This window comes from Homo sapiens, chromosome 6 (genome assembly GCF_000001405.40).
Source record: "Homo sapiens chromosome 6, GRCh38.p14 Primary Assembly".
Lineage (NCBI taxonomy): Eukaryota > Metazoa > Chordata > Mammalia > Primates > Hominidae > Homo > Homo sapiens.
Window position 1 is genome coordinate 29,992,892 of NC_000006.12, and position 26,280 is coordinate 30,019,171.

The following is a 26,280-nucleotide window of genomic DNA, read 5'->3' on the forward strand; positions in this document are numbered from 1 at the left end:
TTTTTTCCTCCGCATTGATCACTTGGTCCTCCCTGCATTTCAGTAAGGTTGCTAGAATGGAGGCATTTGTCCATGATTCACAGATGAATCAGAGGCCCTATGAGTAGAGAGCTTCTCCTGAAGTCACACAGCTCGTGAGTGGTGGAGCAATGACAGGCACATGACTCTCCAGGTCCCTAGTCCAGTTTTCTGGGTGCCATGAGAATTACAGCCTTTGGTTCCTTTTACATGTAGTTCATTTCTGAACCTGAGAAGGAGAATGCACCTCAGGTGACTAACAGTTTTTGCTCTTCTGTACTTGTCTGAGAATGACCCCAAAAGATTTTTAAAGGCCAATTCTTTGGCTACCAACCCTATTTTGCCCAGGCATGGACATGGAGCAGGTGAACACTGCCTTTACCTGTGACATGCCTGAAGATTCTGAGACCTACGTGAATCAGGTAAGCTCCATACACAGAGGGACACCCACTCTCCCACCCACTTATTTTCTGTATCTTTTCACACTTCACTTCTTCATTCCTCCCTCTGGCTGTCTTCCCTCTTTGGGGTCTTCTAGTCCTAACCTCTGTCTCCTTCCAGGTGACTAGAGCAGGCTGGTTTGGAACAGGGCTTGTGTCGGATGAGAATTGTGCCAGGATCCTCAGTGATGGGCAGCATCACTTTAAGTTCAGTGTTAGGAGCTACCTGCTGAGACAGACGTCTCCTCCACAGTGAGTGCTGATTTCATGAAACCCTTAGTTCCTCCCTATTCCTTACTGTGTCTTCAATCCCATCATGTAGGTCATGGGCACTTAACGCATAATGAACAATTGACTGCTTCATGCCCCCTGGCCGTTGATGCTGTGTTGGGACGTTTTGCTGCCCTCTATGTGGGGTCTGTGCCTTTTCTCATATTACATCTCTTCCACCACACCCAAGTCCATCCTCTGAACCCAGGCAGTACACCAGCATCTGCATGTGTGCTGTGTGTTCCTGCCTTGCTTTGTCCTTTCATGCCTTATTCTCACTGTGCCATGTCTCCTTCTCAGTTGAACAGATGCAGTAGGAGACTCGCTCATTCTGGAATGTGACCATCTGCCCTTCAGGAGAGGACAGCAGGGTGTGGGTGAAGGAGACCCTGCTGCCCCCACACCTGACAGCCTCCACCACCCCCTGGCTTTCCTCTTCTGCATCAGCACCACTCCCGAACCATCATTCCTGATCGTCAGAATTTTTAATGTAACTAAACATGAAACACAAGTGCATCTGCATTATGTGTGGGTGCTCTCTCCCTTTATTGTATTTGGGGTAAGATTATTTTAGGGCATGGTCCAGGGTAAATTCCTGTAAGGCCTGGATGCCCTGCTGTGAGGTCAAAGGGGGACGGACTGCAGAGCCCTGGCTCCCCAACTACCTGCCTATTTCCGGCCCTTTGTTGGGGTCTCTTCTGCTTTATCTGGCCTGAGAGAGGCTGGGATGTTTCTGATCCTGGGGCTCCTGGTGGATGGTGCGCAGTATTTCCAGGGATGGAGGGTGCTGTGGGCACTGGTGGGAAGCTTGAGTGTCTCCACCCAGGCTTTCTTGGTGCCTCCTCATCTATTCCTTCAAATTCTAGACCTTGAGCACCAGGGCCTGGGCCCCTGACCCCCTCCTGCCCTTCCAGCAGGGCCTGGTCCAGCTCCAGCAACTCCTCAGCTTGGGCCAGCTCAGCTGTGTTGGGGGCTCATGGCCCTGGTGAGGGGGAGTGGTGGAGGGAGCATCAGCCAGGGCAGGGGGCTGAGGCCCTTGGAACCTGTATTGCAGGGTCTGGCTGTAAATGAGGAATTCTACCTCCCTTTCCCTTTTTCTAGCCCATTAGCTTAAGGCCTCCTGTACTGAGAAGCCCAGGGAGCCCCTTGTCTTGGGCATAGGCCTCTGGGGGGCAAATAGAGATCCCTGGCTCAGGGAGTATAACTGGATACCTTGAACAAGGATATGGGGTCACTGGAAAGAGAGGACCGGCTGTCCCTCTCCGCTAAGAAATAATTAACTGTTAGATGAGGGGGAATTTCTGTTCAAGGGCTCTGTGGACTGTGCTGCTCTGGAGGGGGTGGGGAGAGAGAGCCCTGAGGTCTGAGCTGGGGTGTGGTTGGGAAGGAGCTGAGAGCTCAGAGCTGGAACTAGGCAAGGAGCTGCAGGGGTGAGGGTGGTGCAGGGTGGGATTTAGAGGATTTCCCCTGACTCCTGTGCTGATCCCCTTCACGTCCTCCACCCCCACCCTTGGTGTCCGTCAACATGCTGGGGTGACCTCATCTTCCCACTGTCCCTGGAGCTGTTCTACTCTTCCACGCTTGCCTTGGGGTTTTCAGAGCAGCATCTTTGTGAGTCCTGGAGAGCTAGGGACCAGGAGGGCAGGAGGAGGTGAAGACAACAGCACCAAGAGATCCTGGAAGAGAAAGGACCATGGTAGCTGAGGCAGGGAGCAGTCTGAGTTGCCTAGAAGACACCAAGAGTTCGCTCCCTCCAGGCCTTGGCTTTGCTTCAGCACCTGGTGCTGCATAGGCCCCACCCCTGCCCTGCTCTGCTGCCTCCACCTCCCTCTCAGCCTGGTCCCAGACAGAATCCAGACCAATTCCTGTTTCTGATGTGAAAAATGATCCTGCCAGTTTAGGCAGAGCTTGCTTTAGAGTACTGGTGCCCAGCCTTCCACAGGTCTTGTGTCTGTTTTTCTTGGCACTGGGTTTCTTCTCACTTATTCTTCTGAATTGGCAAGGCAGGAATTACATCACTAGTTTGCAGATGAGGAAACTGACTCGTATGGGCTCATTCAGCACTCACTCACTGGGCAAGTGTCTGTCAGGGCCAACTGTGGGCCAGATGTGCCCAGGGCTCTATAGCTAGCTGGTGGAAGGGCCTGGAGGGTTCATATTCAGGTCCACCTGACTTGAAAACTCATATTGACCTTACTTAAGTACTGATTCCCGATTTACAATCCATGCCACAAACTTTATTGTCATATCTAAAGAAGTTGCCACAGCAGCCTTTAGCAACCACCCTCCTGATCAGCCAATAGTCAACACTGAGGCAAGACCCTCCCCCAGCAAAAAGATTAGCAAAACCTCCACACCCTCTCTCAGGATGTTCCTGCACCTCACAGCTACAGCAGCAACCTGGTCTCCCTGAGGACACGACCCCCTCCAAAGTCCTCCCACATGGGGGAGTTTTCCCAGGGACTTGTACCCCTGGGTTCAGAGGTGAGGTGGGGTCCTTGCTCCTCACTGTGGTTCTCACACCTTTCTCCCTCCCTCCTCCCTAAACCCCTAAGCTGTCAGCAGATTAGGGCCCCATTCCCCATGTTGTAGCCATTCCCTTTGTGCCCCAAGCCATTCCTCTTAATCCTGACCCTTGTAGCTCCTGGTTCACTGTCACCCTCTCCAGCAGTGCGTCTCCTTGACTCTTGGTGACTTCAACATACGCAGATGTGGTGGGCTGAGTAATGGTCCCCAAAGATGTCCAGGCTTAATCGTTGGAACATGTGAATAGGTTGCATTGCATGGCAAAAGGGACATTAATCATGTAATGAAGATTAAGGACCTTAAAATAGGGAGAGTATCCTGGACTATCTGCGTGGGCCCAATCAAATCACATGAGCCATTAAAAGCAGAGAAACTGCCCTGGCTGGAGTCAGATTCTGCAGAAGAGGAAACAGAGGAGAAGCTGGAGAGAGGAGGTCAGATGTTCCAAGCAGGAGGACTGGATGTGCCTTAGGCGCCATGTGTGAGTACCTGAGAGAAAACTCTAGGAGCTAAGGGTGGCTCTTAACAAGGAAGTGGAAATCTCTGTTCTATCTGCAAGGAAGTGAATTCAGACAAGAACTTGAATGAGCTTGGAAGTGGATTCTTCCCCAGTCTCCAGGAAGGAATGCAGGCCTTCCCGTACATTGATCTTAGCCCCATGAGACTGTGTGGACTTGCAACCCACATGACTGTGACATGATAATTAGGTGCTGTTTAAAGCCACTTGGTTTGTGGTAATTTTTATGGCAGCAACAGACACCTATACAGCAGAGAAGATGCCCTTGCTCCCTGGACTCTCAGATCCTGTAACTCCTCTCCTCCATGACCTTCTCCTCTCTCTGCCTGAATCTCATGCCCTTGTCATCCCCTAGGCCTCATCACGGCCAAGAACCCCAGCCCTTCCATACTCTCAATCTCACACTTCCCACTCTCTGGCCATCTTTCCACTCATCCCCTTGCAAGGTGGCCACAGGCTCTGATGACACAGACACTATCATTTTATCATATGCTGTGATGTAATATCAATGAACCACTCATTTCCTATGTGCCTGCATTCCAGGCTTGGAGTCCACCCTGTGGTACATCAATTCCAACAATCCTTCCAGCCCACTGGGATTCCCAATTGAGTGATCCTGCCATCTACTCCCTGTCACTCACCCTTGGTGTCCTCTCCTCCCTCTTCTCCCATTTTGAATTCTACAGTAAATAATTTCAATCCCTCCCTTGCCTCTCCCTTGCATTGTCATACTCACCTGGCAAAACTACACAGCTGGTGGGTTCCACCTCTGTCTATGCTGCACCTGCCCCATGAGCTGCAGGAGGCTGGACAGCAGCACACAACATGCTGACTGGTCTCTTTAAGATTCCAAACCTCATGGGGAGCCCCTACCATTGACGTGGCCAGCAATCACCCTCTCCCTACGTGGTTCACCCTCAGCCTCCTCTTGGCCTGGGTGACTCCTAGACACCTTCTCTCTGTGCTCACACATCCAACCCTTCTTCCCCATTCTTACCTCAGCTGACAACCTTGCCTCCTACCTCACTGAGAAAACTGAACACATTAGAAGACAACTTCCCCGATTCCACCACTGTCTGCTCATGCATTTGCAGCTGCACCACATGTCAGGCATTTTACCACGGGAGGGATTGCTGGGGGTTAACAATTCTGCTCCCAGTCAGAGCCAGTCCCTCTTCTGGTGCCCCAAACATCATCCCTTCTCATCTACTTAAAGTTGTCAGTTCATCAACTAGTATCTTTTTTTATCTTTATCATCAACTTTTTCCCTCTCTCCCCACTGGATCATTGTGGCAGTCATGAGAATGCACATCCCAGCCCCTCAGCTACAGGAAGCAGAATCGATGATGACCCCAGCTCTTGAAGCTTGAAATCTATTGCCACATTTGCTCTGATCCCACACCTGCCCCCTGATCTTTTCCAGCCAATGATTGAGGAAAGCAGGGCAGAAACTAAGGCAGGAATATTTCTCCTCTGAAGGCTGACTGCAGCCCCAGGGCTCCCTGCCTCCTTTACTAAATTTCCCTTAGCCTGCACAGGGTCTAGGATGCTTCCAGCTGAACTTCCTGCCCTCTCTCCTTCACTGGGGCTCAGAGTTGCAGTGTGGTCTGATGGCTCTCCCAGTGTTTTCTGTCTCTCTCCTGAATTTCTCTCACAAGTATTTCCCTGAATAAATCCTTGCACATTTACTACCGTATTGGGCTCTGCTCCTCAGGGGACCCTAACTAACCCAAGCGGTATGAAGGGTGACCCATGAAAACAGGCAAAAATGGGAATTTGAAATAATCTTGCCCACTGCCTGGCAGGCCAAGAGGATGCCACCCGGGTTGGTGGGGGACACAGAAAGTCCATGGCATAAGGTGCAGCTGAGGTGCTGTGGTCTCCTCAGTGCTGAGCTGAGAAGATGCCCTGGTTAGGGGAAGCTATGGCAGGTGAGGTGATAGAATGCCCTACACAATAATGATGAGGTTGGGGGAAACCTACAAAGACAGAGGAGTTGGGTGGTTACTGCTTGGCTGCGTTGATACCCTATAAAAGGATCATGAGAATCTGCGGGTTGTTAACAGCTGTCACTGGCTACAGGTGACAGCCTCTGCAGTGTCTCATGGAGAGGCCTTTATCTCCTGTAGCGAAAGGGCAGATAGCGTGGAATGGCAGCTGAAGACATCATTACGAGGGCCACAGTGCTCCAGACATGTCTGACACTCAGCCAAAGCAGGCCTGTTACAGGAAAGTCAGGGTCCTGGTGGGGAAACCTGAGATTCTGGAAACTGGAACCAGGATATCCGATGGGTGCCCTCCAGGACCCTCTGGGAATGCAGAGGAGGCTCACCATTATCTAATAATGGTTCCCACTTCCTACGCTGGAAGATGCTGCAAAAGCCTCACCCCCGTGATTCTGCGGGAATCCTACTCAGCAGCTTTGCAGGAATTAGCCGCCATTTCCCCACAGGAGCCCAAGGAGCACTTCTGGGATTGGAATTTGAGGGCGTTTGATCAAGAAACCAGAATTTCAGGCTGGATGAATAAAAATCCTTTGGCTTGGAGGCACTTTCTCAAGGCATGGGTTTGTCAAACACCCCAGGACTTTGATAAGTGGAGCTAAACCCACCGCTGGGGTGAATCCATATAGATTGGAAAAAAAGATGCCCAACTCTCAACAAGGTAGACATGTCTTAGTTGCCCTGGAACATGTAAAGGAAGGAATAACGAGGCTGAGGGAAGTGGGCATGGTGAAGGCCCACCAGGGCCATGCTCCACAAGAGGGCCCAGAGGACACAACCTTCCACCAGAGCCTCAGGAACATGATGGTGAAAGGGACCTGCATCACTAAGTATAGGGGTGTTGTCCTCTGCAGGCTGCAGGTGATGGTAATAAAGATGGTCCCAGAGTTGCATTTATCCATATCCCTGGGGAGAGTGTGGCCCTGAAGAGACAGAGAAGAAGTGGTGGCAGTGACCTGAAAAAGCAGAGGGCATGGTTACTATGGCAACTTCAGAGTAGCAGCCAGGAGGACTCAAGTTGCAGGGAATGTGGGGAAGGTTAATAGAGGGTGGTGTCCCAGGGTTAGGACAGGCAGCCAACAAGGGCGCTGCTTGATATCTATGATAGGAATGAAAGAATTGAGGAGCAGGAGGGTGAAGGTGTTTGACCCAATACAAAGTCATGATCCCATCCTCAATGCCTAGACCTCAGCCAAGATTCAGATTCAGATCTCAGTGACAGAGGAGGAGTCCATATCCCTAGGAGGAAGACCCTGCAACCCTGTGGAAGTATATGCTGGCACAATTCCCTCAATCATTTGGCAAAGGAACCTATAGACATTTACTTGGGTGGTTGTACACTGGGGAAAGGAAACACGCAGAACTGGAGGGATTATTGACACTGGGTGTGAGCTGACATTGATGCCCAGATGCCCACAGCACTCATGTCTCCCATCACAGTGGGGCTTATGGAGGCCAGGGAGTAAACCTGGACAAATTATGGCCCACAATGGGACCACTGGGCCAACAGACCCAACGCTGGATATCTTTCAATTCCCTGAGTGCATGATTGACACTGCTGCACTGCTAAGTGGAGTCACCCCCACACTGGGTCCCTAGTCTGTGGAGTAAGGACTCTCATTGTGCTGAAAGCCAAACGGAAACCTCTGACACTGCCCTCATCCTGGCCAAATCAAAAACCATAGTGTGTCCCAGGGTGGGTCTTGTGGAAGACACTGAAAGTATTATGGGGTCGCACCAACATTAGAGAGCTGAAGGATGTGGGGTGGTGTTGGGGCTGTCTATTGTCTCTATGTAATCCAGCAACCTGTCCCTGAGGGAAACTGGTAAGGCCTAAAGAATGAATGAGATTACTCCAGGTCTGGCCAAGTAGGAGTTATAATTGCAGCTTTTATGTTGTCTGGTTATCACTGGTAGAGCAGGTTAATAAAGCCCCGGGCACACAGTGTGCCGCTGTGGATTTGGTGAGTGCATTCCTTTCCACTCCAATTAGAAAGTGGATATGGGCTGGGCGCAGTAGCTCATGCCTGTAATCCCAGCTTTGGGAGGCCGAGGCCGGTGGATTACCTGAGGTCAGGAGTTCTAGACCATCCTGGCCAACATGGCAAAACCCCGTCTCTATTAAAAATACAAAAATTAGCCAGGCATCATGTCAGGTGCCTGTAATCCCAGCTACTCGGGGGGCCAAGGCAGGAGAATCACTTGAACACAGAAGGCAGAGGTTGCAGTGAGCCGAGATCACGCCATTGCACTCCAGCCTAGGGGACAAGAGCAAGACTTTGTCAAAAAAGAAAGGAAGGAAGGAAGGAAGGAAGGAAGAGGATATGGAGTGATTCACATTCATGTGGAATCAACGACACATTTATTTATTGTTTGCCTCAGGGCTATTGTAACACCTGTGCCCTCTATAGTATAGGCTTAAGACTGTACTGGACATACTGCATATCCTTTAGGATATTAAATCAGCACATTTCATTGACAACTTCATGTTGACTGGAGTAGATGAGCAGCAGGAAGAAAGTGCACTGTAGTCCTTTGCAAAACACACGCACCCCACAAGGTGAAGATAAACCTTATACAGCTTCAAAGGTGGGCACTGAAGTGAAGTTTTATGGGTGAACAAGTGCCAAGTGTTTAGGGGAATGCAGGTGTGTCCCCTCCAAGGTAAAAGAAAAACTGTTGCATCTTGCATCCTCACCAGAAGCAAGGAAGCACACTGCTTGGTGAGCCTCTTTGAATTATAACAACACCACATTCCACATCTAGACATTTTGCTTTGGCCCACAGTCTAGGTGACATAGGAGGATGCCAGCTTCAAGTGGGGCCTACACAGGAAAGGACCCTGCAGCAGATCCAGGCCATGGTACAAGCAGCCACCATCCCTCAGACCCCTGGGGCTGGTGGTGCCAGTGGTGGGGAAAGACACAGGATGGAGCTGAACCAAGCACCAGTGGGAGAGTCACAGTGGAGGGCCTGGGATTCTGGAGTAAGATCATGTCATCCACAGCAGAGACACATGCCCCCTGTTAGAAGCAACTTTTAGTGTTCCTTGTCCTGATTCAATAGAATGTTTGACCACGGGATACCAAGCAACTACGGGGTTCCAAGTGCCTGTGTGACCCACAAAGTCATAGATGGTACAGGCCCAACAGCATTCATCATCAGGTGAAAACAGTCCACCTGGGTTGAGCTTGAATCCCTTGCTGACACCCACAGAAAACACCCAAGTCTGAAGTGGCACTGAACTACCAAACAGACAAATGGCAGTTAGCCAGCTTTCACCATGGGTCAGCCCAGGCCTGGTAGGATGAGTGCATGAATGGAGCAACCACAGTGGCAGGCATGAGGCTCCGTAAGGGGCCAGCAGCACTGACTTCCCCACACCAAGGCAGATCCAGCTGCTGCCACCTCTGAATGTCCAACTCATCAGCAATTGAGGCCCATGATGTGCCCTAGTGGGGCACTATTTCTTTACATGACTACCCACTAAGTAACAAGTTGACTACATTTAGCTACTTCCAACCTGGAAGGGCCAGAGTTTCATCTTCACAGGGTTAGGTACCGATTCTATGGGTGGGTTTTCCTGTCCTGCTCTCAGACACAGCCAGCACCACTCTCTGGGTGCTGTTGACATTCCTGGTCTGCAGGCTAGGCAGTGCTCCTAGCCCATTATCTGCCTGAAGGACCCACTTTGCAGGGAAAGTTTCAGTGTTTCCACGGCTGTGGGTTCCACTAATCCTATCACCATCTGCACTACCCAGGAGCTGCCAGCCACAAGGAAGGCTGGACAGGTCTTCTACAGGCACAACTCAGTGCCAGCCTGGAGGAAGCACTCTGAGGGGTGGGTGCCATCTTTCAGGACACAGTGCATTGTTTGAATCAGAGACGTCTCTAGAGTTCTGTGTTCTCAATAGGAAGAACATGTGTGTCCAGAAATCAAAAGGCGGAAGCAGGTTTGGCTCCATGTCCAATCTCTTAGATTCACTCAATGGGGTATTTCGCATATTTTATCTCCCAACACTGGGCTGTGCAGGATACGAGGTTCTGGTTTCCAAAGGAGTGTACCCCTAAAAGGAGACAAAAGACAGCCCACTGAACTACACATTACTTTAGTCACCAGAGAAGTTTGGACAGTGTGTGCCCAGATACCACTTGGTGAGAAGAAGATTCTCCTCCTCTCCAGGCCCAGGTAATAAATAGATCCTCATCCCCAGGAGAAGGCATGGCTGTTTCACACAAGGGTAGAAGTGTGTGTGGAAACCAGAGATCCACCTGGGAGCCTTCTGGTTTCCCTTGCCCCATTGTAAGTGTGAGCAGAATCATCCAGCAATTCAGCCTGAGAGGATTTGATTTCCAAGGGCCCAGACCCGTCAGGGCAGAAGGTTTGAGTCACACTTGTGGGCAATCTCCCAAGGCCCTGCTCTTGTGTTCTGACATCCTCAGTACATTGGTGCTGAGGCCCTCTTCCCATGGGCTGTTCCCAACGACTGATGGGTCATACCAGTGACACTAAGGCAGGACATTCCTAGGAGACAGGGGACTCCTCTGATGGCCAATTGTAGCTCGAGGACTCCTCTATGGCCTTGCTCAGTGAAGTCCTCAGATGATGCAGGCCTAGGCTGACAACTGGACTGCAACCTTGTGAGAGGCCCTGAGCCAGAAGCACTCAGGGAAACCTCTCCTGGATTTCTGATCATTGGAAACTGTGGGAGATGAGGAATATTTGTTGTTCTGAGCTGCTAAGTTTTACATAATTTGTTATGCATAGTAAATAACTAATACATTTTCACAAGACAGGATGCATTATTACATGTTAATTTGCATTTGCTCTAAATTTATCATCATCATTATTATTATTTTTGAGACAGGGTCTCACTCTGTCACCCAGGCTGGAGTGCAGTGGCATGATCACCATGCACTGCAGTGTCGACCTCCTGGGCTCAAGGGATCCTCTGACCTTAGCCTCCTGAGTAGCTGGGACTATAGTCATGAACCACCATGCCAGGCTAATTTTCTAGTTTTTTTGTAGAGATGAGAGTTTCACCATGTTGCCCAGGCTGATCTTGAACTTCTGGAGTCAACAAGTCTGCCTTCCTCTGCCTTCCATAGTGCTAGGATGGCAGGCGTGAGCCACCACCCCTGCCTAACTTAATTATAAGACATTAAACATGTAACTTAGTTTTAAAAGGAAAGGAGAAGTTCCATGGCTGAAGAGGATGTATTTTATTATCGTTCACAATGATCACTTTACTTGAACTTCAATTTCCAACTGTGTCCCAATTAAACACAAAAGGAAGATTCATCCCTTGCTAGAGTGATTCTATGATGGCCCCAACAACCACCTCCTGGTCATTCACCTTCCCCCAGTTATTCAACCAACTCTAATGTAGGTGCTGCTGTGAAGGAATTTAGCAGACATAATAAAGGGGCTCAATTAGTTGACTTCAGGCTGGGTTTATGCTGCTTGGACTGTCCTAATCAGGAGAGTCCTTGAAAGGACTGGGTTCTTCCTGAGCATAGAGATTCACAGTGTGAGAGGGATTCAGCATGAGGGGTTTCCTCCACTGTGGGCTTTGAAAATGAAGGGGCTGTGTAGGAAACAACACTGGTGGGCACCAGGAATTGAGTACAGCCCTCCCTGTTCTCTACATTGACAGCCAGCAAGGAACAGGGACCTCAGTCTTAAAACTGCAAGAAAGCACATTCTGCCACCTCTGTATAAGCCTAAAGGAGGATTCAAAATGAAGACTCAGATTTGGGAAGCCTGGAACAGAGATTCCATCTACATCATGCCCAGATTTCTGACTAAGGTACTATAAACAGATAAATGGGTGTTTTTTGGCCAGGCGTGGTGGTGCACTCCTGTAATCCTAACATTTGAGGAGCTGACACAGGAGGATCACTTGCAGCCAGGAGTGTGAGACCAGCCCAGGTAATACAGTGAGACACTCGTCTCTACACTTTTTTTTTTAATTAGCTGGGTGTGGTGGCACTTGTCTGCAGTCCTGTCTACTCTGAAGACTGAGGCAGGAGGATTCCTTGAGCCCAGGAGTTTGAGGCTGCAGTGAGCCATGATCATGTGACTGCACTTCACGCTGGATGACAGTTTTTAGAGACTCTGTCTCTAAAAACAAATAAATGAATACAATAAATAAAAACAAATAAATAAATACAATAAATGGGTGTTGTTTAAAGCCAATGTTTGTGATAATTTTTTACACAGTCTTATAAAATTCATACACAGGCTCAACAGACTAATGGAATGAACTGATGAATTGATATATACACTAGTTACATAAAATAAAATCTTTCTGAACTTTTTCAGTGTTTTGCATTTTATAATTATCTGTGATGCAATTTAATATACTCATATTTCATTCATTCAGTCAACAAAAATTAATTTAGTCCCTACAATGAACCAGGTATCCCCTCATATGCTCACGTGCCTGACATTCTAGAAGCTTCACAAGACCAAGGTGGAGCCACTGGAGTGTTTTAGGTGGAGAAATGACACACTTTGACTCACATTAGCAGGACCACTGTGGAGAGAACAGTCACGTAGCAGGTAACGGGAGAGTGCCAGTGTCACAATTCAGGAGTGACAGTGTGATGGGGACTAAGGGGAGAGGAGGGGCTGAGTGATAAGAGGGACGGAGGGAAGGGCTGGAGAAGCAGTAGGTGAGGAAAAGGAGTAGAGGGATAGAATTCAAAAGCAGCACAACTCTTAGGTTTGAACACTTTTTTTAATGGTATTTCAATAGATCCATCTACAGAGCCTCGCAGGGTGTTACTTGCAGTTGGCCTTTAATACCTTAAGTGGGTCTGCTTAAAAACTAATTGTTTTTATGTTAATCAGGTTTTAAAAATACTAAGTGTTCCTAAGAAATATACACACCACTTAGATGTGGATACTTCCTAAAAACAGGCAGTGCATGAGCACTGGTGATGGACATTGTGACTGCATCGAGCGCTTGCAACTTTGAGGTGAATGAAGTCTGTACTGACTCCTGGTTGCAACACATAGGAACACAGTGGCTACTTTGTATTGAGGAGATGTCCTGGACTCACAGAAACTCAGGGCTATGGAATAAAGGTAAATTTAAAACACCACAAGCGGGAGTCACAGATACCTTGTTTGCAAAAGTGAAACTTAGGAGCTTTGTGAGTCCTGTTGTAATGCTTTTAGACACTTTATATATCAAGGGGCCAAAGTCACATGTTTTTACCGATTAGATTCCTGATCATTCAGGGGTTACCAAGATTCTGCTACCCACTGTAGTTAATACACAAAAAGCAAACTGGTCTCTATACTATCTCATGCACCCAGGCACAACTTTTCCAGATTTAAAGAAAAAGAAAAAAGAAATAAAAGAAAAAAACCTCTGTCTCTACACCTCCATTCCCAGGGAGAGCTCCCTCTCTGGCACCAAGCTCCCTGGGGTGAGTTTTCTTTTTGAAGAGTCCAGGGGAACAGGTAAGCAGCGGGGAAGCAGGGAGTCCATTTCAGGGACAGGAATTCCCGGATGAAAAGTGAAAGGAGAGGGACGGGGCCCAAGCTGAGGGTTTCTTCCTGGTTTCTCGGACAGCTCCTGGACCAAGACTCAGGGAACATTGAGACAGAGCGTTTGTCACAGGAGGAGCGGGGTCAGGGCGAAGTCCCAGAGCCCCAGGCATGGCTCTCAGGGTCTCAGGCCCCGAAGGCGGTGCATGGGCTGGGGAGGTGCAGCATTGGGGATTCCCCATCTCCGCAGAGTTTCTCTTCTCCCTCTCCCAGCCTGCGACGGGTCCTTCTTCCTGGACACTCACGACGCGGACCCAGTTCTCACTCCCACTGAGTGTCGGGTTTCTAGGGAAGCCAATCAGCGTCGCGCGGCCCCGGTTCTAAAGTCCCCACGCACCCACCGGGACTCGGAGTCTCCCCAGACGCCGACGATGGGGTCATGGCGCCCCGAACCCTCCTCCTGCTGCTCTCGGGGACCCTGGCCCTGGCCGAGACCTGGGCGGGTGAGTGCGGGGTCAGGAGGGAAACGGCCTCTGCCGTGAGGAGCGAAAGGTCCACCTGGCTGGGGCGCAGGACCCGGGGAGCCGCGCCGGGAGGAGGGTCGGGCGGGTCTCAGCCCCTCCTCGCCCCCAGGCTCCCACTCCATGAGGTATTTCAGCACCGCCGTTTCCTGGCCGGGCCGCGGGGAGCCCAGCTTCATTGCCGTGGGCTACGTGGACGACACGCAGTTCGTGCGGGTCGACAGTGACGCCGTGAGTCTGAGGATGAAGACGCGGGCGCGGTGGGTGGAGCAGGAGGGGCCGGAGTATTGGGACCTACAGACACTGGGCGCCAAGGCCCAGGCACAGACTGACCGAGTGAACCTGCGGACCCTGCTCCGCTACTACAACCAGAGCGAGGCGGGTGAGTGACCCCGGCCCGGGGCGCAGATCACTTACTCCCCGCTCCATGCCTCACGGACGGCCCTGGTCCCCTGAGTCTCCGGGTCCAAGATCGACCCCGAGGCTGCGGGACCTGCAGAGATCCTCGACCCGGGAGAGCCCCAGGCGCCTTTACCTGGTTTCATCTTCAGTTGAGGCCAAAATCTCCGCAGGTTGCTAGGGGCCGGGCCAGGGCTCGGTGGGCGGGGCTGACCGCGGGAACTGGGCCAGGGTATCACATCCTCCAGGGAATGTTTGGCTGCGACCTGGGGCCCGACGGGCGTCTCCTCCGCGGGTATGAGCAGTATGCCTACGACGGCAAGGATTACATCGCCCTGAACGAGGACCTGCGCTCCTGGACCGCCGCGGATACCGCGGCTCAGATTACCCAGCGCAAGTATGAGGCGGCCAATGTGGCTGAGCAAAGGAGAGCCTACCTGGAGGGCACCTGCATGGAGTGGCTCCGCAGACACCTGGAGAACGGGAAGGAGACGCTGCAGCGCGCGGGTACCAGGGGCCATGGGGAGCCTGCTCGATCTCCTGTAGATCTCCCGGGCTGGCCTCGCACAAGGAGGGGAAGAAAATGGAACCACCACCAGAATATCGCCCTCCCTCCTGTCCTGACGGAGAGGAATCCTCCTGGGTTTCCAGATCCTGTATCAGAGATTGACTCTGAGGGCCCACCCTGCTCTTCCTGGGACAATTAAGGGATGAAGTCTCTGAGGGAGTGGAGGGGAAGACAATCCCTGGAAGACTGATCCGCGGTCCCCTTTCACCCCACAGCAACCTTGGGCACCAGGACTTTTCCTCCCGGGCCTTGTTCTCTGCCTCACACTCAATGTGTCGGAGTCTGACTCCAGCTCCTCTGAGTCCCTTGGCCTCCACTCAGATCAGGACCAGAAGTCCCTGCTACCCTGCTCAGAGACTAGAACTTTCCAAGGAATAGGAGATTATCCCAGGCGCCTGTGTCCAGGCTGGTGTCTGGGCTCTGTGCTCCCTTCCCCACCCCAGGTGTCCTATTCATCAGGATGGTCACATGGGCGCTGCTGGGGTGTCCCATGAGGAATGCAAAGTGCCTGAGTTTTCCGACTCTTCCTTTCAGACCCCCCCCAAGACACACGTGACCCACCCCCCTCTCTGAACATGAGGCATAACGAGGTCCTGGGTTCTGGGCTTCTACCCTGCGGAGATCACATTGACCTGGCAGCGGGATGGGGAGGACCAGACCCAGGACATGGAGCTCGTGGAGACCAGGCCCACAGGGGATGGAACCTTCCAGAAGTGGGCGGTTGTGGTAGTGCCTTCTGGAGAGGAACAGAGATACACATGCCATGTGCAGCACAAGGGGCTGCCCAAGCCCCTCATCCTGAGATGGGGTAAGGAGAGAGATGGGGGCGGCCATGTCTCTTAGGGAAAGCAGGAGCCCCTCTGGAGACCTTTAGCAGGGTCGGGGCTGGGTCCTGGAGGTCAGAACCCTCACATTCCCCTCCTTTCCCAGAGCCCTCTCCCCAGCCCACCATCCCCATTGTGGGTATCATTGCTGGCCTGGTTCTCCTTGGAGCTGTGGTCACTGGAGCTGTGGTCACTGCTGTGATGTGGAGGAAGAAGAGCTCAGGTGGGGAAGGGGTGAGGAGTCGGGTTTGAGTTTTCTTGTCCCACTGGGGGTTTCAAGCTCCAGGTAGAAATGTGTTCTGCCTGGTTACCGGGAAGCACCATCCACATTCATGGGCCTACCCAGCCTGGGCCCTGTGTGCCAGCACTTACTCTTTTGTAAGCACCTGTGACAATGAAGGACAGATTTCTCACCTTGATGATTGTAGTGATGGGGATCTGACCCCAGTAATCACAGGTCAGGGGAAGGTCCCTGCTGAGGACAGACCTTAGGAGGGCAGTTGGTCCAGGACCCACATCTGCTTTCCTTGTTTTTCCTGATCCTGCCCTTGGTTTGCAGTCACACATTTCTGGAAACTTCTCAAGGTTCCAAGACTAGGAGGTTCCTCTAGGACCTCATGGCCCTGCTACCTTCCTGGCCTCTCACAGGACGTTTTCTTCCCGCAGATAGAAAAGGAGGGAGCTACTCTCAGGCTGCAAGTAAGTATGAAGGAGGCTGATCCCTGAGATCCTTGGGATATTGTGGTTGGGAGCCCATGGGGGAGCTCACCCACCCCACAATTCCTCCTCTAGCCACATCTCCTGTGGGATCTGACCAGGTTCTGTTTTTGTTCTACCCCAGGCAGCCAAAGTGCCCAGGGCTCTGATGTGTCTCTCACGGCTTGTAAAGGTGAGACCCTGGGGAGGCTGATGTGTGTGGGTTGTTGGGGTAACAGTGGATATAGCTGTGCTATGGGGTTTCTTTGACTTGGATGTATTCAGCACATGATGGGCTGTTGAAGGTGTGACCCCTCACTGTGAGTGATATGAATTTGTTCATGAATATTTTTTCTATAGTGTGAGACAGCTGCCTTGTGTGGGACTGAGAGGCAAGATTTGTTCATGCCTTCCCTTTGTGACTTCAAGAACCCTGACTTCTCTTTCTGCAAAGGCATCTGAATGTGTCTGTGTCCCTATAGGCATAATGTGAGGTGGTGGGGAGACCAGCCCACACCCGTGTCCACCATGACCCTGTTCCCCACACTGACCTACATTCCTTCCCCGATCACCTTTCCTGTTCCAGAGAAGTGGTGCTGGGATGTCTCCATCTCTGTCTCAACTTCATGGTGCACTGAGCTGTAACTTCTTACTTCCCTATTAAAATTAGAATCTGAGTATAAATTTACTTTTTTCAAATTATTTCCATGACGGGTTGATGGGTTAATTAAAGGAGAAGATTCCTAAAATTTGAGAGACAAAATAAATGGAAGACATGAGAACCTTCCAGAGTCCACGTGTTTCTTGTGCTGATTTGTTGCAGGGGAGGAGAGTAGATGGGGCTGTGCCCAGTGTGTGCTCAGGCCACCATGGGCTTTATGTGGTCACAGCTCACCTGGGTCATCTTTGCTGCTCCACTGTCCTTGGCCCTTCAGTAGAACCTTGTCCCACCAGGACCTGTGATCACAGGGACTTGGATGTCACCTAGGGTGGTCCCTACACATCGAAGTCCTTCCGGTATGAAGAGACAAATTTTCAGTCCCCTGTATCTTTTGCCCTCCTTCCAGGTCTCTTTCCTGGATTGTATTTTCCATCTTTTTCCCCAGCCTTCTTAAAGGAAGCAGATTCTGAAATTTGCAGAGAGGAGGGGTCCCATAGTTTCTCATCGTAGGTAACTTTCTGTTGGAACTCCTCTTCTGCTTTCCTACTCTTCTTCCTGCCTGAGTTGTAGTAATCCCAGTGCTGGCTCCAATCCAAACTCATGCATTTATAAAGCAGAGTCTGATTTAGATTTATATGGGGTTGGAAAATTGGACCCACAAGGCTAGGATTATCTTTCCTGAACAGAAAAATATGGCTGTGCGCTGCAGTGTGCAGGAGGGTTGGTGTGGGAGGAGGTGGGAAGGACACACAAGCAGCCCTGGTGAGAAAAGCACTGGCAGCACTGATGTTGGTGTGAGATGATGTTGTTCTTTAGCTACGTTAATAAAGATATTGCCTTTAGAATACAGAGGTGCTCTACAGTGATCATTCATTCAACTGACATTTGTTGTCTGCTAGGTATATGACTGTTTTTGCATTTAGAAAACATCATTAAAGTAAAAACAGAAAAATTTCTGGCCTTGTGGTGTATACGTTCTAGATGCAAGCTTGTCCAACCTGCAGCTCTCGGGCTGCGTGTGGCCCGGGACAGCTTTGAATGTAAGAAGTTTTTTTGCTTATCTGTGGTAGCAAATATCATGAAAATTATGCACGCACATGTTTTTCTTTTTTCTATTCTTTCTGCTCATCAGCTGTCATTAGTGTATTTTATGTGTGGCTCAAGACAATGCTTATTCTTCCCAACTGGCCCAGGGAAGCCAAAAAATTGGACACCTCTGTAGGCAGATGATAGATATAGTATAAGCAGAGTAGGAACAGAAAATGCTTGAGTTAGAAGGTGGCAAGTGCTGTGTGGCAGGTGATCCAGAGGGTGGGCTGTGGGGACAGGAAGGTGGCTGTTGTGCTGGGTGGTCAGCATGGGCCTTGTTGCAAATGTGACCTTGGAGTAAAGATTTGAGGGATGTGAGGAGTTGTCTACAAGGATGTCTGGGAAAGTTCTTTTCAGGCAGGGGAACCTTCAGTGCAGATGCACTAGGGCAGGAAATTGTCTGTGTTCCTGGAAGGAGGAAGAGGCCAGAAGGGCTGGACACAGAGAAACTGAAGTGAGGTCAAAGGTGTGGCTAGAGCAGGTAGCCCTGAAGGGTGTGGGAAGGGTGTTGACCTTTGCTCTGAATGACATGGGGAGGACAGTTTTGAAAAGTGGGACATGGTAGGGCTCATCCTTTGAAAGCTTCTTTCTGGCTGCTGTGCTGAGAACAGAATTGAGAGGTGGGGAACCAGTGATGCAGTGGGGAAAATGGTGGGAAAGGAGTACAGTATTCTAGGATGGACACGTTGCTTACCTTGACTAGGGTGTGAGCAGGGGAAATAGTGAGAAGTGAAGGGATTCTGGATGAATTTGAAGATGGACTCACAGCACTTGCTAATGGATGTGAGAAGAAGAATCAAGGACACCCACAGTATTGGACTGAGTGAGCAGAAGGGTGGAGCTGCTGTCAGTGGAGATAGGGAGACTCTGGCAGGAGTACACAGAGGAGAGGGCATCGCAGGCATTCAATGGAGGAGACATCTATGAGGAATGCAGGTGAGGGGCCCAGATGCCTCTGCAGCTACAGATTCATCATCCAATCACTCTCCTACTCCCACCACCCCTGTGTCTCAGAGCCAGAGCACTGATTCTCCCCTGGGCTGTGGGCACAGGTAGGTGAAAGTCAGGGAAGTTGTGGTCTGCTATTGGTTATAATAAGTCACAGATCATTATGCTTTCTCAGATAATTAAAGAAATAATAAGAGAATGTGTAATTAGGACACTTAGAAGACTACAATAATGCAAAGGTTTTTATTCATCTAAAGAAGGTAACATAAGAAAAATAGTTGAGCAAGAAAGAGATAATATTAGAAGGCAGCAAATGACAATGGACAGACTTAAACCCAATGAGGTCAATAATTACATTAAACATAATGGACTCAGACACTCCAATTACAAGACAAATAGTGCAGGGGGGTAAAAATAAATAACTAAATAAATAATCATGGGCTGTTTACAAAAGACATAATTTCAGTAGAAGGTAAAGAAAAGTTGAAAGTAAAAGGATAGAGAATACCAGACAAACATTCATGAAAGACCACATGGAGACGCCATTTAGAAAAATTACAGGATATGAGTCTCCTGAGACATAGAGTACACGTAGACAGCTCACAAGGTCTTTTTCCCTTTTTTCAGAGACAGGGTCTGTTGCCCAGGTTGAAATGCAATGGTGATATCATACCTTACTGTAACCTCAAACTCCTGGGCTGGAGCAATTCTCCTGCCTCAGCCTTCCGAGTAGCTAGGACCACAAGCCTGTGCCGCCACACCTGGCTATAATGTCTCATTTTCTCATTTGCTGTGGTGTGAACAAGGAAACAATACCATGCCATGTATTTGACTTGCAGCAGGCACACAACAAATGTCAGGTGAATTAAGAAATAAAACCACTTAGTAATCCAAGCCATATCCACATTTACATCTTACAGATGAGGAGCAACATCCCAGACAAGTAAAGTAAAATAAATTGATTTACATCATCCAGAGCAGAATCGAGAACACATTCCCTGTGCTAAAGGAATCAGAGCTCTACTAAGGGTCATAGCAGATATCATGCAAGTCACATATGTTAATTACTAGAACAGGAATTGATACATTTCAAGATATACTAAACAAAGGGTTTGGAAGGATTAACTGAATGCAGAAATAGAGGAAGAAAATGGATTTGTTTAAAAGATGGTTAGAATCTTTAAAGAAACAACATTTTTTTAAAGTGGCCTTATGTGGACCAAAGCAGAGATGAACTCAAGTGTCAGGTGGGAAAATGCCTAAGTGCAGCTTCTAGACCCAAGGGAGACCTAAAAATCCTGGGACATTTTCGGTTGTCACATGGGGATTGGTGGGAGGGGGTGAGTGGGGTGTTGCTGGCAAACCTCCCACAATGCACAGGACAGACCACTCCACAAGATTCTCTGTCCCAAATTGTTAATAGTGCTGCTGTTGAGAAACCCGCCCCAGAGGTAAATGCTGTAATGTCCTCACCATTTCACAGATTAAGAAACTGAGGCACCAGGGGGAGAAGTGTCAGTAAGACCTGAGCTGCAGGTTGAATCCAGGCCACTTGGCTACAGGGTCTTGGCTCCCCTGGTTAAGTCAGGGACCCAGTAGCCGACCACAAACAATCCCAGCTGCACGGTGCCTTCATGGTCTGTGGCGCCCCCTGGTGTTGACACTGGGCCTGTGGCCAAATGAGGCTTGAGGGAAAAGGAAAAAACAGGTTTGGGTAGGGGGATACTCTTTCAGGCTCTCCAGATTTCCAGCCACGACTTACGCTCAGAAAAAATAACGTCCACCTTAATTATCTCTCCAACCCTGTTTTTCCCTGTCCCGGCTAGTTCCCTCCCTTGACTCCATCAACATCGGCACCTGCCAGACGCCCACCACCCACCATGTAAGGAGTGAAAAGGCCCCAGGACTAAATGACAAGACGAGGTTCCACCCCAGCCATCCCTCCCCTCCTAGAGCTCTAGCTCTGTGCCTTTAGTGCTTAGGCTCTTAACCTGGGGTCCAGGAACCCACTTTCCTATGACACTGCGTGAAGAAGTGATGTTACACGCACACATGACTTCACTACAGGACATTGGATATTAATATTCATCAGATCAGCTAGAGGCCCAAGATACCACTCTTCTCCCAACAGTTTGTGATCCTCTGAATTAAAGAAAGGGTAGGGATTGAGGGAGGCCCTAACTCCAAATCTTCTACCACTTCTAGCGAAGTGCTGAGAAGAAGTGCAAGGTACTCAACCTGCTCTGGGGATACAGCAGGAAAGCAGAGTGTTTACGGATTTCACATTCCATCAAAGAAAATCCATTTTGACAAAATATCCAAGTCACTTTTCTAAGCCCCAGGCAGCAGTTCAAACAAATAACATCAAAAAAAACCAAAATCTTGGCCCAGGTGAAATCATTGAAGCTATAAAACTTTGTGAGACCTGTAGTTAGAGAGAAGGACAATTCAGTTTAGGGCTGCAGCAGAAAATTCCTATATCATATTGTGTTCTTCTTCATCATGAAGGTCCCCTGAAGGGACCTTCTCCCTTCAGCAGTGCATAGTGAGGCCATTTCCGTGCAAAAAGATAGAATCTCCTGGGATTCCTGATGTTTACACTTACTACTCACTCCTTCACTTTGTAGATGCCAACTTCACATTAGACATCTTTCAGTTAATTTCCTTACTCTGTCTAAGCAGAATATTTAAACTTCTTTCTGAAGCAGAAAACCAGGGACTGGTTATGTGAGCTATCACCCCACTCTGTGGCTCTCTTAAGCAATAAGCATAAGAGATTGTGGGCCAACAGAATTTGTAGCAAGGTAAACATAACCCTTCATTTCAGCCTATGTTTCAGCTTGTCTAGTGATGTTCCAGTCTTGCTCCAGTCTTAACATTTTAAAATTTATAATTTTACTTGAATATGATTTTATAAGAAGTCATATATATTCATTTCTGTTGAGTCTGTCAGTGAAAGCCTTCTCAAAACAACTGTGAAGTAAAGACAGGTAAATAAATGCATGGTGCTCCCATGTATTAATGCTCACTGCATCTTACAAATGTGTCAGCCCCACTGCAACAGATGGTGCATCAACAAATGGTGCTGGAAACCTGGATATCAACATGCAAAAGAATGATGCTGGAAAAAATTCATGTCCTTCCATTACACCCTTTTCAAAAATTAAGTCAGAATGACTCAAAGAACTAATCTTAAGAATTGAACCTGTAAAACCCTCAAGAAAATACTGAGGAAAATCTTATGGACATTAGAATTGGTAGTGGTTTCTTGGCTGGTGACCAATAGTACAAGTAATATAAGAAAAATGACAAATTAGAATGCATCAAAATTTAAAAACTTTTTTGCATCAAAGGACACTATTAAGAGAATCAAAAGAAAATGCACAGACCAGGAGGAAATATTTGCCAATCACATATCTGATAAAGAATTAATATCCAGAATATGTAAAGAACTACAATTCAACAATAGCAAAACAATCTCATTCAAAAATAAGTAAAAGACATGAATAGACAATTCTCCAAAGAAGATATACAATAAGGACATAAAAATAAGGAATGCTGGTCAGGCATGGTGGCTCATGCCTGTAATCCCAGTACTTTGGGAGGCCGAGGTGGGCGGATCACGAGGTCAAGAGATCAAGACCATCCCGGCCAACATGGTGAAACCCCGTCTGTACCAAAAAAATACAAATATTAGTTGGGCATGGTGGCAGGTACCTGTAGTCCCAGCTACTCAGGAGGCTGAGGTAGGAGAATCACTTGAACCTGGGAAGTGGAGGTTACAGCGAGCCGAGATTGTGCCACTGCACTCCAGCCTGGCAACAGAGCAAGACTCTGTTTCACAAAAAAAAAAAAAAAAGGAATGCCAATAAGGACATAAAAATATGGTAAACTTCACTAGGCCAAGTGTTGGTGAAGATATGGAGAAACTGGAACACTTGTACACTGCTGGTGAGAGTATACAGTGGTGCAGCCACCATGGAAAACAGAATAGTGATTCCTCAAGAAAGTAAAAATAGAATTACTATATGAGCCAACAATTCCACTTTTGGGCATACCCAAAAGCACTGAAAGCAGGAACTCACCCAGATATGTGTACACTCAGGCCCATAGCAGCACTATACCCAATATCCAAAAGGTGGAAGCAACCGAGTGTCCATCAGAGGATGACTGGATAAACAACCCACGGTGCACATAAGCATGGAATATTATTCAGCCTTAAAAGTGAATGAAATTCTAATTGGATGAGCCTTGAAAACACTATAAGTGAAATAAGCCAGAAATAAAAACAAATATGATATTTTACTTATATAAAGTAGCTAGAATAAGCAAATTCATAGAAACAGAAAATAGAATAGAGATTACCAGGGGCTGGGGGTAGGGAGAATGGGCAGTTATGGTTTAATGGGTACAGTTTCTGTTTGGGATGATGAAAATGTTCTGGAAATGGATATTGGCGGTGGTTACACAACATTGTAAATGTGCTTACTGCCACCAAATTGTACACTGAAAAAATGGTTAGAAGGTAAATTATATAGTATGCATGTTTTACCACAATTTACAAAAAATATATCAACACTAAATCCAATCACAGCTCTCATCGAGTTTTTTTATACTGGTGTTTCAACAAGCACATTGCCGCTGTGGAGGGGAGGGGTCCTTGGAGTTCTTATGCCACCATGTTCTTTGGTGTCACTTCTCAGCACAACTTTGGTGGTCAGAGCACAACTTGGTTTTATACATTTTAAGGGGACATGAGACAGTGATCAACATATGTAAGCTAAAGATTGATTCCGTCTGGAAAGGCGGGACAACTCGAAGCAAGGAGGGGGCTTCCAGGTCACAGATAGATGAGAGACAAATGGTTGCATTCTTTTGAGTTTCCGATTAGCCTTTCCAAATGAGGGAATCAGACATGTGTTTATCTCAGTGAGCAGAGGGGCGACTCTGAACAGATGGGAGGCAGGTTTACCCTAAGCAGTTCCCAGCTTGACTTTTCCCTTTAGCTTAGTAATTTTGGGGCCCCAAGATTTTATTTTCCTTTTACAGAACCATCAATACTTACAGAAAAAAAAAAACCCTGAATGTACACAAACCTCTATACCAAACTACCAATTTACAGAAAATACAGGTAATAGAAATACATTAAACCACACCTTGGCGTGCAATCCACAAAATGCAAACAATAGGAAACCTTACCATACAATATAAATTTCAAGGAGAAACCTATGGAACAAATGAGAACAAAAAACATATTTTTAAAGGTAAAACTAAACTATAATTTTGGATGATGAAAATATAAAGTCCAGCATAGGGAAGCAGTTCCTTTAGAATTTTAGTCACAATTAATGGAAGGGTACTGAAACCTGCTATTTCCCAGTTGAATAACAGGTCCTGGGGATATAGAAGGTCTTGCCACAAGTTGAATCCATAACTGCTGCTTTCCTGGTACCAGGGAGAACAGGTTTCCTATCAAGGACTGGGTAGGAGTGTTTGCCAGGCCTGTATCAGCTATTGCCCAAGTTTCCACTTTACAAAAGTGCCATGCATACATGCAACAACATAGTGCCTTCTCCATGCATCCCTTAAGAGATGAACTGCATGCTATCTTAGGGCCAGTACATTATGAGTCCAGTGCTGCCCCTATTGTGGAGCCCTCACAGGAGATGTCTCCAATGGTACATGAAGGCATGGCCCTCATTCCTGATAATGCTTGGTACTTAGATGCATTGAGCCAAGGTAACCCTGTGTATGGACAGTAGTAGCTGCACAACCACAGACAGTATCTGGTTTGAGATGGGAATGCAACAGAGCAGTCAATGGGCAGAACTCCAAGCTACATGGTTGGTTTGTACCCGTGAGCCACCACCTATAGTTCTCTGTACAGACAGTCTGGCAGTACTTAAGGGTCTTACAATTTGGCTTGCCCAAAGGGCCTGAGATGATTGGTATATAATTTAAAAATCCTTATGGGGAGCTGATATGTGGAAAGACATTTGGAAAAGTCTACAGGAACCCACTGTGGACCTAATTGCTTCAGCACACTGGTCAGATTCACCTCCCAGAAACATGGAGGCAGACATCCTAGCAAAAATTAGAATACTGAGCTAGTTGATTAGGTACATATCACAGTGGGGATTTCAGTGCATGAATGGGCTGCCAAATAGCAAAGGGAGCAGGATTGGCTCTCTGCTATGCAGATTTAGTGGTGGCGGTAGCAAACTGCTTAATTTGTTCCCGTCTGTACCTCTGCCACATCCCACATACACCTGGACATATACATAAGACAGCCACCCCTGTGACAGACTGGTAGATAGACTACATCAGACCCTTGCCAGTAATCTTGAGACGAAAGTATGCACTAACATGTGTATACACTGCCATGGGATTGTTGCAAGCTTTCCCTTGTAAGAGCAAACCAAACAGCCACCATCAGGGGCTTGGAGCAACTCAGTGTCATGTAAGGATACCCTCCACATATTGATAGCAATCGAGGCATGCATTTCACCAGACACGGTGTCCAAGACTGGATGCATGAAAGGGACATAGACTGGGTATTTCACTTACTGTATACTCCCCCAAGCAACAGGGTTGATTGAAAGGAAAAATGGTATTTTGAAGGCACAGTTTTGAGCACTCTCAAAATCCAATATCTTTCATAGTTAGACAAAGATTTTGCCTCAAGCCATTAGAAACCTTAATTTAGTTGAGACAAATATGGTGCTGGCACCACACCAATGACTCAGGACCACCACAGAGATGGATCCATTAACCATAATAGTAAAGAAAGTCCAACCAGATGCATCTCTGACCTGAGCAGATAAAAGGCCAATGGCAAAGGTTATTTAGAACTCCTCAAGATCTTGAGCCAGGGAGGAGACACTTGAATGGGGGTTGGACTAGCAACTTCCCCTATGTTGGATAGAGCATTTCTTTCCAGACAGCAAGGAATTCCCTACCAACTAAAGTGGTCTCCATTGATCCTGCTGAAGTCTGGGCCAAAACACTCCACATACCAATAAACTGGAACACAGTCCCTTTTAAGAAGCACCCTGGCTGGCCATTTGACATGGTCCTTTGCTGCCCCTGTAACCTTACACATAATACCAGCGCCTTTGCCCCTCAGGCAACATGTTTGGTGTGTACTCCCAGCCCACAATCCTATGTTCCTAATCAACAGAGATGGAGCTACCAGTAATTCTGTTTAATGGGGAAGAACTGCCCCACCAAATACCTACTAAACATTTTTAATTCCACCCATAGTCTTCTGTTCCTATTGTTGTTCTGCTCTATACCTCT

At 48.2% G+C, this 26,280-nt stretch overlaps 6 pseudogenes across 3 annotated transcripts in view; 2 read left to right on the top strand and 4 right to left on the bottom strand.

The window, feature by feature from the left end:
• Positions 318 to 1,242, top strand: DDX39BP2 (DEAD-box helicase 39B pseudogene 2; annotated as a pseudogene).
• Positions 2,251 to 2,423, bottom strand: MCCD1P2 (mitochondrial coiled-coil domain 1 pseudogene 2; annotated as a pseudogene).
• On the bottom strand, positions 3,066 to 3,524 carry LOC353007 (HLA complex group 26 (non-protein coding) pseudogene; annotated as a pseudogene).
• Positions 8,120 to 26,280, bottom strand: part of POLR1HASP (POLR1H antisense, pseudogene) — a 60,179-nt pseudogene continuing 42,018 nt past the window's right edge. The window contains exon 6 of one of the 2 annotated variants that reach the window (NR_026751.2): positions 8,120 to 9,841. The product of NR_026751.2 is annotated as a POLR1H antisense, pseudogene, transcript variant 1 (transcript). Of the gene's footprint in view, positions 9,842 to 19,207; positions 20,667 to 26,280 lie in introns of those variants that run through there. The other variant, NR_145416.1, reaches the window with a different exon arrangement.
• Positions 11,954 to 12,937, bottom strand: HCG4P3 (HLA complex group 4 pseudogene 3; annotated as a pseudogene).
• Positions 13,080 to 17,065, top strand: HLA-J (major histocompatibility complex, class I, J (pseudogene); annotated as a pseudogene). Its single transcript, NR_024240.1, has 7 exons — positions 13,080 to 13,248; positions 13,549 to 13,778; positions 13,909 to 14,178; positions 15,298 to 15,571; positions 16,147 to 16,286; positions 16,429 to 16,476; positions 16,644 to 17,065. The product of NR_024240.1 is annotated as a major histocompatibility complex, class I, J (pseudogene) (transcript).